The 14,133-nt window shown below is 35.6% G+C and overlaps 1 long non-coding RNA gene across 1 annotated transcript in view; it reads right to left on the minus strand.

The window, feature by feature from the left end:
- The window catches only part of HRAT17 (heart tissue-associated transcript 17), a 41,009-nt gene extending 29,225 nt beyond the window's left edge, over positions 1-11,784 (minus strand). Inside the window, exons 1-2 of the long non-coding RNA NR_110162.1 lie at positions 11,709-11,784; positions 2,677-2,805 (exon numbers count right to left, since the gene is read on the minus strand). This is a non-coding gene — a long non-coding RNA (heart tissue-associated transcript 17). The remainder of the gene's footprint in view (positions 1-2,676; positions 2,806-11,708) is intronic.
- Positions 11,785-14,133: the final 2,349 nt, after the last annotated feature.

Below are 14,133 nucleotides of genomic sequence, written 5' to 3' on the forward strand. Positions count from 1 at the left end.
TCCTCCCTTTCTCCACCCTCCCATACCTCAACTGGCAATAGTTCTGAGTCTTGTTCATGTATGTGGAGATGTGGAAATTAAATTATGGATCATTAGTAGATATTGTTCCCCTAACTCAGAAACTGCTTGAGCTCAGAAGCAGCATTATTTGACATCTGATCAGAAGTTTCAATGCTTAATTTTTTAAATCATAAAAGTAATATGTGATAATTATAACTAATTTAAACAAAATACATGACACAAGAGAATAATCCCCCTCTTTCTCCAACTCCAAATCCATTCTGTAAAGGCAACCACTGTTATCAATTTGTGGTATATCTTTTCTGATTTTTATTCATGCTTGGCTAATTTTGGCTCTGCATAAACCTGACATTTAGCTTTTCAAGCATTCTCACGAGCTATCTTGTGAAAAAAGGTAGATCAGATTTACATCTGAGCTATGACATATAATATTTAATAAAGAAAGTAAGTGCCATAAAATGAAAGTTTCCCATAACATTATTTTAAAGAAAATCAGCTATTGAACATTATTACAATTTTATTTCATTATACCCACATCATAATTTATAATTTCCTACAAAATTTTGCTTGCAAACACAGTTCTGCTAAGTTACTAATTTATATGTTCCTGTCTTATTTGTATGCCATTTTAAGCTTGAGGCTTTTCATGTCCTTTTCTCTGCATTCTGTTTATTTGGTAATAGGTTTGAAAGATTAAAAAGTGGAATATTGGTTAGAGCATAAGACTCAAAACAAAAAAAACCCCTCAAATTTAGAAAGTTTTCTATTCATCTCTATATATTTATCAATAATTAAGGAATACTTCAGTTTCCTCATCTATAAATGGGGATTAATTTTTGGATGAGTTGTTATTTGGCATACATTTAAAAATAATCCATTGTATACTAAAATTATTTTTGTCTACCGTGAGTTTTCTTTCCTCCAGATAGAATAATTCAAGTATTTTTCATGCCAGCTTACTGTCATCTCCAGTAATTGTTAATTTGTTTCAAATACAACTAGGTAAAGATAATTTTATTTATTTATTTTTTTTTAGAATTTGCTTGAGAGCGGAGGTCAGTTTTTGTTTTTCACTTACATCACACTTTTGAGATGCTCTCCCTGTAAAAATTTCACTGGAATTATATTGATCGTTCAACTACTCTACACTTCAGATACTATTTTAAAAATCGAGGACTGGAAGAAACCAATGAAAATCAGTAATAGGAGTAGATTTTCAATGGTAATATTAAAAAATAACTGTGTGAGCTCTGGGGATGTTAGTATACTTTTAATGCGGCATGGTTTAAAGGCACAGAATGCTATTATCCAAAAACAAAATGCATAAATGAGTCAATTATCCATGCAAATTTGGCAACAATGTGTTCAACATATTATTTTATTTTAAAAGGTTAAATACACAGAATAATTTTAAAACAGAGAAAGTAAAGCCTGTTCAATTATAGCACTGTATTTTAAACCCAGAGATACATGAACTCTGCAGAAACCTGAAGAACCAGGCTCATGTGGAGACAAAGGGAACACTAAATGGAGAAAAAACACGTTTTTTTTTTTTTTTTTGAGACGGAGTCTCGTTCTGTCGCCCAGGCTAGAGTGCAGTGGCGCAATCTCCGCTCACTGCAACCTCTGCCTCCCGAGTTCATGCCATTCTCCTGCCTCAGCCTCCCAGAAAAAACACTTTCTATCATGAATCATACTTTCTTGTATAAAATCTGTACCGTACTCTAAACTCTGTGTTAGGATCTATGCCAACACACTATTTATTGCTTCTTCCTCCTCTTTCTCTCAGGACATCTTTTTTTGTAGATTGAAGGTGGGAAATGCTATGTGCTTATATCTGAGAAGATGTCTCTCTCTGCTTTAGAATCATCAATCTTTCCCACAGCCAGAGGTAGGCTGGCTTCCATCTTGATTGTCAGTGCTGCAGTGAGCTCCGTTCTTCTGTGTTTTTATTGGTATTTTAGTGAGAGGTAGGAAAAGCTGCCTGCTGGGCTGTTGAAGAAATGTTGACAGTTGCCAGGCCAGTACTCTGTATGTGGCTCAGGCTTAGTAAGTAGTTATTGAATGAATAACTGCATGAGTTTAAAGAGCAGAGATAGTACAAAGAGCAGAGATAGTTCTTTATATAGCAGAACAAGCAGCTGATTACTTAGAATGATTTGAAAGGCAAAAAGGACTGCTTGGTTCCTTAATCTAGTGGATAAAATACAGTGCCTGAAATTCTTACCTTAAGTTTATGAATACTTTTGTGTTTGGGCATTGAATGCTTTTCTAAAATGGAAATTATTTTTGGAATAAGCCATAATCAACAATCAAAACCTAATGTAAATCTGTATAGCAGTTTAGTTGATTTAGAGATTTATTACAGAAAAAGCTTCGATTCTTGGGAAAGAGAAGTGGGAAATGGAGGGGAGAAGGTTGAAAATCTGGAGTGTTTGCACTCAAAGCATGGGGCAGTGAGGAGAGGGCCGGGGTAGGGGGTGGAGACCTTCTCCAAAAGTGGAAGCCAAAATAGAGATGACAGAGTATGAGTCAAAGGGGAGAAATTTGAATGCTTGTGCAATTTAGCTGTCCTGCAATGGAAAGACTTATTTTCTTGGGTTTCTCATTATAGCCAGGAGGGCAAAAAAGAGAAAAACAAACAGAAAACATTACTTCCAACTGGCTTTCTGCTGAATTCTCCAGAGAATGGCTGGATTGTCACAGTGGTTGCCTTTAAGGCCTTAAGCATAAGCCACTTCCTTGTCTTGCTTCTTATATTCATGAAACTTTCACTCTAGAATTCTAGGACAAAGGAAGGAGATGATAAGGAGAAGTTAAATTTTGTATAGCAAATGATTTTATTTTTACTTTTTAATTGTGATAAAATACACATAACATAAAACTTACTATGTTAATCATTTAAAAATGTACAGTTACGTTAAGCATTTTCATGTTGTTGTGCAACCAATCTTCAGAACTTTTTCATCTTGCAAAACTAAAACTTTATAGCCATTAAGTAACAACCTCTCCATTTTCCTCTTCCTCAGCTCCTGACAACAACCATTCTACCTGCTGTGTCTATGAGTTTGATTACTCTTAATACCCTGTATAAGTGAAGTCATGCAGTATTTGCATTTTTGTGACTGGCTTATTTCATTTACCATAATATTCTCATAAAGCGTTCATCCACTTTATAGCATGTGTTAGAATTTCCTTACTCTTTAAGGCTATTATTCCATTATATGTATAAACTACATTTTGTTTATCCATTATCGATGGACACGGGTTGCTTCCACTTTTTGGTTACTGTGAACAATGCTGCTATGAACATGGGTATACAAACATTTCTTTAAAACCCTGCTTTCAATTATTTTGAGTATATGACCAGAAGTAAAATTGCTGGATCATGTGGTAATTCTATTTTTAATTCTTTTAAGGGACAGTCATACTGTTTTCTGTAGTGGCTGCACCATTTTACATTCCTACCAGGGGTGTACAAGAGTTGCAATTTTTTCACATCCTTGCCAGCACTTGTTATTTTATGTTTGTTTGTTTTTTTTTCCTTTTGATAGCAGCTGTAGTAACTGACTTTTTAAAGGTCACTTTCGCCAAGCTATCATTTTTCCTTTACAGATGTGGAAATTGCAGTTCAAAGGAGAAATGATTGCCTTCAATGGTAGCTAAAGAATTGAAATCCAAGTTTTCAAAATCCAAATACAAGTCTCCTCCTACAACAGCAGACTTCACAATATATCAGACAAAACTATTAGAAACAGCAAGCAAGAGGATCTTAAAATTGGGGAGATGAGGGACTTGAAGCCTGATGGGGGAGGTTTCTAGTTTTTAATGTAGTTTGAGCTGCAGGTAAAAATCTGCTGATAATAATACTGTCCAAAGGAGGAATTTAGTTTTTTTAAAAAAATTAGCTATGCGAACAGTAAAGCTTGACCTTCATTAATATGTGCTCATTAGCATTATCTGATTTACCTAGGTGTTAGCCCAGGTGTTTGGAAGAGCAGCCAGGAGAATAACCTCACATCATTACAAAACTGGAGATGTATCTTCTGTTCCTCTCTGAGGACTTTCAAATAAACATTAATTATAACAGCACAAATTTAGAAATGGCTGATTACATAATTTTGGCAAACCTGTCATTATCCATAAATATTTCATGAAATACAGAAATGCATGCAGCATTTTTCATAAAGCTTCATAAAGACACTTTTTTCTCTGATGGGGGAAAAAAAACCCCTGTGTTTCTTATATAATTCTCAGGTCAGGCAAACACTACTTCTGGAGCATACAATTATACCTACAGTTTCAGATACCATGGTTAATCTTCTTGGCTTTATATTTTGGGAACAATGTAGCAGGAACTGTGTTTAAGCTAAATGCTTATCTGATGATAGACTTCCTCTCTTACATTATGGAGGGAAATAAAATGATGTGATGATATAAGCGCAATGTAGCGCTCTGCAGAGTTCAATATCCTGCAGTTTCTTTGTGCTCTTCCTGCTTGATATGCAAGTTACTTCTAAGTGTCCTGAAAAACCACTCATCATGGAGAACTTAAAAGTAACACTGGGCACTGTGAGAGTATTGTGCTGAGAAGACAGTGACAGAGCCTAATGTGAGTCATGTTTTTTCATACTTAACACCTCTTCACAGAATCATCTCAATTTTATGGATGACAAGTGTGAAGAAGACAGAAGTCAGGAGAGAACAATGCCAAATTTATCCTAGAAACAATTAATTGATCAATGGATTTATGCACACCAAAACTATTTAATAGGCACCTATATCATGTGTCAGTCACAGTGCTGGACACTCAGGTGAGTGATACAAACAAGAAAATACATCATTCCTGCTCTCAAGGACGTTAAAAATAATCTCCATGATGCAGTGGCTTTCAGACTTTGGTGTACATCAGAATCACATGGAAGGCTTGTTAAAGCACAGGTTGTTGGGCCTTACCCTTATACTTTCTGATTCTTTGGGTATGGGAACGGGGAGCAAAAATTTCAAAAATGTTCCCAGACGATGTTGATGTCACTGGTCCTGGGACCGCACTTTGGGAACCACCATTATAATGAAACTTTTGTAGCAGCAAAAGAGAGCCTAAATCTTAAAAATCTTAACTTGTGAAAGCCTTGTTTGCTTAAATGTAATAATAATGTCAAAGCTTTACATGTTTAATTAAGGCTCTCCTGCTGTCCAATTAACATAGCCCCTAAAAGGGAACTTCAAATGAATAGTGCCATTATGCTTCACACAGACACACACACAGACACACAGACACACGCACACACTCATACATACAGAAATTTTAAAAAAGGGCTAGATGAAAACATTTTGGAGATTGTGAATGATATTTAGTCCACTATCACCAAAAATAATACCTGGTAAGGAAAATGAGACACAAATAAAAATATTCAGTGGAAAAGAAAAACACTTCAAATTGAATTATGTAAAAAAAAAATCAATTGAATTATGTAAAAAAAATTAAATGCTGATATCCTGATAAGACTGCACAAATGTTAGAGCAATAATGAAAGAGGAAACAAATTTATGTTTTTTACACTAAAAATGATATAACAGAAGATAAAATAATTGATGTGTCTTTAATATAATACAAGGGCAATTGTATCTGATTTTAAAAAATGATCTGGTTTTCTATGGATTGGCTTCTTGATGGAATCTTTTCAGTTGTTTGATGTTAAAACCAATTTAATGATAAATGAGTAATGATGGATATGCTTCTTTATGTACCTGTACACTTACATGGTACAAAGTACAGGCAGTGACTTTCAATGACCAAGTAAGAGAGATTAGAGTGTAATACAAGTGAATGTAAAAATGGCAGGAGTGGCTAAAAGTAAGCAAAAGATGAGTCATGTTGAATTTATGTGATACCCTTTTTCTGATGGTCTCAGAAAATACTGGCATTTAAAACTCATTGAGAGAGTGTAGCCAGGCATTATTACCTGTGTTGTTATATGTTTAAGATGAACATACAGAAGCACAGAGATTTCCTGACTCTCCCAAGGATTGGTATACTGAATGCAAGAATTAGAATCAGTACGTTAGGTTTCGGTGGTATATTTTTGTTTCAAATTTTAGTCCAGTTTTAAACACCAGACAACATTCTTTTTTATAATATAAGATTTCTAGCAGCTTTGTTTTGGAAGAAATTTCTAGAGATTTAAATTTATTAATTCCTACATGGGTGAGTCCATCCTCATGTGTAGGGGCTGCAGGCAGTTGCTCCTGGTATGATCCAAGTTTCACCATGAAATTTCCATCAATATTCAGTTTCTCTCTAAGTGGCTTGCTAGAGTACTAGCCTTCTTTCTAGGTTTTGCTTGATATTCTTATGCTAATTGAGTCAATATTGCAGTATGGTGATGTCGGTAGGCTCTGGAATCAAGCTGCCAGGGTTCAAATCTCAGCTCTGCTACTTATTCACTTCATGACCTTGAGCAACACTTAATCCTTCTAAACCTGCATATTCCATTTGTAAAATGGAGGCTCACAGGAGCTAGGCCTGAATTGAAGGGCAGGTCAGCAAACTGGGATAAAGCCATTCTGCAGCCAGGTCAATCTGTAAAGTTTAAAAGAGGAAGAACCCCTTCTGGAGCACAACAAGAGTTTTGTTTGGCTCTGAAAGTGACAGGGGAACTGTTCAATTATAGACCAAGTTAGAATCAGCTAAAGTTTAGACATTTGTTTGAAATGTTGAGTTTCAAACTGTTTTTCCATTTTGGGGGCTGCTCTGAACTCAGGACCCTCTGGCTTTTTGTAAGGACCATCCATTTGTTTAGGTGGTTAATTTCTCAAATAGGCCTTGGTCCTGACCTAACTGAACAGGATAGGTTAGGTCAGGACCAAGGCCTGTTTGAGAGGTTGGGCCAGGTGTCCTTGTAGCTCACTGGAGTTAAGCGTCCAGCTACTGGAAGTGAGTAATCCAGCCAGTACTTAACCACTGGAAAGAAAAGGAAGTTGTCCTAGCTAGGGGGTGGAGGATACATGTCACACTTTAATAAACAGGCAGAGGCAAACCGTAGCTTTAAGAAAGGACTGAATTTGTAATGTGAGTGGTGGAATGTCAGGGAATAAGGGAATTGGGGGAAACTTTCTGTTTATTTTTATGTTGAAGAGAAAAGCTAGGACTTTAATTTAGTCTATAAATTATAACAGGGTGCTAATTTTATTTCCTAATTAACAGCATCTAGGTTAGACTTTGCATATAATTGTGCTAATTCTTAGGATGCACAAAAAATAAATGAAAGGCTTTTTGAGGGGTTAATTTTTCTAACAAAATTATAGAATAGCACAACAGGGCATCCTTCACTTCTTGCTTGACTTTTGTGGCATGCTTATAAAGAAGGTTATCTTTGCAAAATATTCAAGGTCTTCTTCAAACCCTCTTTTGAAGGATTTACTTTGTCATCAAATCTTTATTTTTCAATGGTTTGAAATGGTTTGAGTTGTTTTCCAATTTCACTTTTATAGACTTCATCAAAGTCTGCATCTTTTGCAAGATTTTCAGTTTCACTGATAATTATAACATGCCATAATTTTTGTAAGAAAATGGCAAAGATATGAAAATGATGCATAGGATAAGAGCTAATGCGAAGCAGGAAGGAATTTTTGAGTATAAACTATATCACATGTGGTCAGTTCCTTAACACAGATTTTTATATCATAATACATCTGCCTGCCTATGAAACCTTATAAGTTTAAGGACTTGAATAATAACAAGAAAGACCTGTCTTGATAACAAGAAAGACCTGTCTAATTTTACTGTCAATTGAGACTGGGAAAGAGTCTTACAGCTTTGCGCTTTCTAATGTGTTATTGACAATAGAAACACCCATGATAGTTTGATATTTGCCCCAACCTAGTAGCCCCTTCTCCTAGAATTGGGATTTAGAATCTTGATTATCATTTTCTCAAACCAAATGTTTCTAAAAGTAAAAGAAGGCCTACACTTATAGAGTAGTGCTCTAAGTTACCATTATTTGGTGCATATCACAGAGCTTGGTATGTCTTTATGGAGTGAGGAAACCCCAAGTAGATGAATCCTTAAAATGGCAAATATGTACAGTGATTGCCCTAGTGTGGTGGACAACAGATTTCTTCCTCTGGTGTAGTGAGACTGGAAAACTTGTGAGGCAGGCTTCACTTGGGCTCATAAAGATTTATCTTTATTTGTTGCTCAATCTCAGGGAAATCAGAAGGAACCTGCATGCAGGTGTACTTCAGTGGCTGATATGGAGGCCAGATGTTGGGTGTCTGAGCAAAAGTCCTGATTTTAGTTGACCTCCTTCTGGATTCATTAGCGGATCAAACCATATCTGAACAGATGTACTCATTAGTCCTGCAGTAGGTCCACTGGGAAGCTTCTTTCTAATTTTGGCTTTGAGTCCATTGGATGAATGGATTTTTCTAGAGTCTATCCTCTCCTATGGACATTTGAACAATAGTTTTAGCTTATCATCAAAATCTTTATAGTGAGCTCCCCTAATGCATACAGTAGGAAGTCCTAGCTACAGCAATTAGGCAAGAAAAATAAATAAAAGGCATCCAAATTGGAAAGGAAGAAGTTCAATTTTTCCTGTTTGCAGGTGACATTACCTTATATGTGGAAAACTCTAAAGTCTCCACCAAAAAACTGTCAGAACTAATAAATATTCTAACAGAATATTTTCATATTGTAAAGGTGCAGGATGAAAAACAACATACAAAAATCAGTAGCATGTACTAACAATGAACTGTGTACTAACAATGAACTGTCCAAAAAAGGAAACCAATAAAACAATTCCAATTACAATAGCTACAAAAATAAATAAATACATAGGAATACATTTAACTAAGGACATGAAAGATCTGTACTCTAAGAACTATAAAACATTAATAAAAGAAATAAAAAAAGACACAAATAAATGGAAAGATACCATGTTTCATTAATTTATTGGAAAATTAATATTGTTAAAATGTCCATACTACCCCCAAAAATCTACAGATTCAATGCAACCTCTATCAAAATTCCAATAACATTGTCCACTGAAACAGAAAAAACAATCCTAAAGTTCACATGGAACTACAAAGACCCCAAATAGCCAAAGCAATCTTGAGCAAAATGAACAAAACTGGGGGTATCACAATGCCTGATTTCAAAATATACTACAAACAGCATGGTGCTGGCATAAAAACAGACATATAGGCCAATAAAACAAAGAGAGTCCAGAAATAAATCCACCCATGTATAGTCAATGGATTTTTGACAATGGTGCCAAGAACACACAATGGGAAAAAACAGTCTTTCAGTAAATGGTTTTGTAAAACAGGATACCTATATGCAGAAAAATAAAATTGGATGTTTATCTGACACCATATACAAAAGTCAACTCATAATGGATTAAAGACTTAAACATAAAGCCTGAAACTGTAAAAACTACTAGAAGAAAACTTAGGGAGAAAACTGCACAACATTGGTCTGAGCAATGATTTTTTTGATATGACTCCAAAAGCACAGGCAACAAAAGCAAATATAGACAAATGGTATCGCATCAACCTGAAAGGCTTCTGTGCAGGAAAGGAAACAATCAACAGAGTGAAGAGACAACCTATGGAATGGGAGAAAAATTTGCCAGCCATACACCTGATAAAGGATGAATGCCCAAAATATACAAGGAACTCAAATAACTCAATAGCAAGAACATAAAACACCTGATTAAAAACTTGGCAAAGGACCTGAATAGACATTTCTTAAAAGAATATATGGGCCAGGTGCGGTGGTTCACGCCTGTAATCCCAGCACTTTGGGAGGCCAAGGCGGGCAGATCACAAGGTCAGGAGATCGAGACCATCCTGGTTAACACACTGAAACCCTGTCTCTACTGAAAAAAAAAAAAAAACATTAGCCAGGTGTGGTGGTGGGCGCCTGTAGTCCCAGCTACTCAGGAGGCTGAGGCAGGAGAATGGCGTGAACCTGGAAGGCAGAGCTTGCAGTGAGTGGAGATTGCACCACTGCACTCCAGCCTGGGTGACAGAGCGAGACTCCATCTCAAAAAACAAAACAAAACAAAACACAAAACAAAACAAAACAAAACAAGAATATATGCAAATGGCCAACAAGTAAATGAAAAAATGTTCAACATCACTATCAATAAGGAAATGCAAATAAAATCCACAAAGAAATATTACCTTATGTACCTGTCAGAATGGCTATGATAAAAAATATGAAAGATAAATGTGGAGAAAAGGGAGCTCTTGTACGCTGTTGGTAGGAATGTAAATTAGTACAGCCAATATGGAAAACAGTATGGTGGTTCCTCAAAAAGTTAAAAATAGAACTACCATATGATCCAGCAATTTCACTTCTGAGTATATATCCAAAGAAAATCAAGTCAGTATGCTGAAGCAATATCTGCACTCCTATGTTCATTGCAGCATTATTCACAATAGCCAAAATATGGAATCAACCTAAATGTCCATCAGCAGATAAAGTGTTATATATATATTCTTTCTAATTTTGGCTTTATATAGATACACAATAGAATACTGTGATAAAGAATACATTGAATAGAATGTGTAGAATAATGCTACAATGTATTCATAGACTATACAATGTATTCATAGAATACGTTGTAGCATTATTCACAATAGCCAAAATATGGAATCAACCTAAATGTCCATTGGCAAATAAAGTGTTATATATATTCTTTCTAATTTTGTCCCTTTATATACATAGATACACATTAGAATACTATTCAGCCTTTAAAAAGAAGAAAATCCTGCCATTTTTGACAACGTAGATGAGCCTGGAGGACATTATGTTAAGTAAATAAGTCAGGCATAGAATTACAAATACTGTGTGATCTCACTTTTGTGTGAAGTAAAAAATGTTGAGCACACAGAAGCAGAGTAGAATGATAGTTGCCAATGTCTGTGGGGAGTGGTGGTGTGGGAATGGGGAGATATTGGCCAAAGTTAGACAGGATGAGTAAGTGCTGGAGATCTATTGTTAAGCATGATGACTATAGTCAATAATAATGTATAATTGAAAATTGCTGAGGGAATAGATAAGTTCTCACCAAAAAATGATAAGTATGCGAGGTGACGCATATGTTAATTAGCTTTATTTAGCCATTCCACAAGGTATACATAGTTCAGAACATCATGTTGTATACCATAAATATATACAATTTTATTTATCAGTTAAAAAAAGGAAAACAGAAAAAAATAAAAAATGTACTGGGAAAAAAATTTATAGCACTCCTAAACATACAGTAGGATGCCCAAAGTGCATCTTGAGCACAGTTTTTCAGTCTCAGCAGCATAATTGACATTTTGGACCAGATAAATCTTGTTGTGAGAGGCTGTTCTGTGCAATATAGGATGCTTGGCAGCAACCCTGGTCTCTACCCACTAGACGACTGTAGCATGTTTCGTTTTGATAATCAAAAATACCTGCACACATTGCTAAATGCCCCTTGAGGGGTAAAATTGCTTCTGGTTGAGACCCAGTCTAGACAAAGGTTGGGAAATTTGTTGGCTGTATCTTCAAAATATGTTCAGAATTCAACCACTCCCACCACTTCCATTTTCTCTCTTTGTCAAGCCACCATCATCTCTTGCCTGGATTATTGCAGTAGTTTCCTAATCAGACTCCTGGTATCTACTCCATTTTCTACTCTTACCTTTTCAGTGTTTTCTCCACACAGCATCCAGAGTGATTCTTTCAGAACATGCCAGTTTATGTCACTTATCTCCTCACAACTCTCCAAAGACTCTCTCTTTCTCTGAGGGTAAAATTAGTAGGTGAATTCAGGACAATGGCATGCCAGGAACTATGTGACGCATCACAACCACCAGCTGAACCAGGGATTTGTGAAGGAGCCAGAGGCATGTGGGCAGCCAATGGCCCCTGAGAAGGCTCAAAACTTTCTGGATGTTCTTTCTGAAGTCGTCTTCAGAGCCAGTTTAGTCAGGCAGGACTACTACTCTGATTCCCTATAATCAGATACTTTTTCTTCCAAATAGTCCTCTAGTTGGATCATTAATCAATTCACCAGACTACTGATGACAATTATCTCTATCCAAAAATTAAAGTCTACACTTAAAAAATTAGGATTTGCTGCCACTGGGTTCATTTGAAACAAAGCAGCAGGTTCTAAATGCAAACCTTTAAGAGGAATCCCTGAAAGTGTTTTTAATTGATGGCAAGATCAATGGACTAAAGTAGAAATTCTTAAGGCAGTTATGTTGAAGAAGATAATGTTCACTTAGATTTTTATGTTTTGGGTATTAATTAATATGAGCTTTATTATAATATTTGAAATTACTTCCTAGAGTAATTTAGTAACTTGATATTTTATAATAATAACATTTTGAAACATTTCAAGAATATGCCCTAGATATATGGAAAATAAGTCACAAATTCAACAATAAGATAGATAAGAGATGGAGAACCACAATTACAGAAGAACCAGGAGGTATTCTCCCCCAAGATCAACATGAAATAAGATCTCATGAAAACAGCAAAATAAAGGACAGTTAAAGGTGGCAGAGTTACCGAAAACCTCACTTTGATACACAAAAAGTGTCAGCAATCTGTTAGAGCACAGAAATAGTGATTGCCCCTTTCACTACAACATGGAAAGATTCCACTTGGCTTTGCTAGTTGCTTTCTGTCTCTCCATATGGGAAAAATATAACTAACTGGATAATTTTCAACCAGCAAAAAAAGGTGGAGCATAAATTCTAAAAATAAGTATGATATAAAAATGCTGAAATGCTAAAAATGTTCGATAAGTTATAAATGGGAAAACAGATAAGAAAAGACATAGTAAAAGATTTTTACAGCTATGTGAAATAGGGCAAAATTAAGCAAAAACAAACTTGAAAGTGGAATACCAGAGAACATTTTTATGGTAATGACAAATGGTAATGTTCTATTGTATAACAAGAGCCCCCATTTCATAAGAGAATTTGAATGTAAACTGGGAATACTCAGCGATGTTCTCAAAACTAGAATTCTTTTCTAGTGAGAGAGATAATTCTGTTTTTTTTCCTTCCTGACATATTACAAACTAATTTTTCAGAGTTTTGTGAAATATTGTTAATTTTTTTCTTTTACTACTTGTTTTCTGGCCATCATGCTTCTCTAGGGAGAGAATTATGATAATCTGAGAGCATGCTGTTTTATACACCCTTAGCTTTAATCCCCTTTTAGATACTTTTTACTTTTTCTCCAGGCTTTTGACTTGGGATGACTTTTTTTTTTTTTTTTTTTTTGCTGCAGAATATAGTGCCATCTTTCATAGACAGTTGCAAAAGTAAACCTCCTCTAATAACATTCTAAAAATGTGATTATTAAATAAAAAGATGCAATTTAATAAAAGCCATGGTTCATAAAGCCATTAGTTAAATAGATTCATTAATAAGAACACATTTTCCCACATGAGACACTCCGTAAGTGGTGGTTATGGTCTCCAGCTAGCCTGCCAACTTTATTTAATTTACAATGCATTTGAAACTGAATGTTCTATAAATCAGATACATTATGGGTTAATAGGGCCTTTGGGGAGACAGTGAGAGGAATAGTCAGGGAATCTGACACCCATTATAAATTATGTTTAAGGCAATTGATTTTCAAGTCAAGTCTTCGAATGCCAAGACCTCAACTATAACAAGTTCCAAGAAATTGAGAGATTGGGACAGAAAAAAAAAGGAAGAATAGGAGGTGAAATTTTCTTCCTTGAGGGCACAAGTAACTGGACACTCTCCCCAAACTCTCCTACCCAGCATGAAGGGGACTCTTCTCCCTTAGCACCAGAAAACTCACCAGGAGAGGATTCTCTCTTTCCTCTAAACTCTCCCTCAGAAATCACTGCTTAGTATTGTTAAGCAGCAATTATCTATGGGTTTCTGCACATCTTGCAAAGCAGGCACTGAGTACCCTTTGTTCTCCACCATCTTTTCAAGGATGTTTGCTAAGAGAAAATATCTGGAAGATAGAGATGTTGTCTCTTTCAAGAGAAAGGATAGGGTTGCTTATGGCTTTGGGACATAGAGATAGTATCTCCCTCTGGAGCAATAGGCAGATACTCTTACTGCCTGTTA

This window comes from Homo sapiens, chromosome 7, assembly GCF_000001405.40.
Source record: "Homo sapiens chromosome 7, GRCh38.p14 Primary Assembly".
Lineage (NCBI taxonomy): Eukaryota > Metazoa > Chordata > Mammalia > Primates > Hominidae > Homo > Homo sapiens.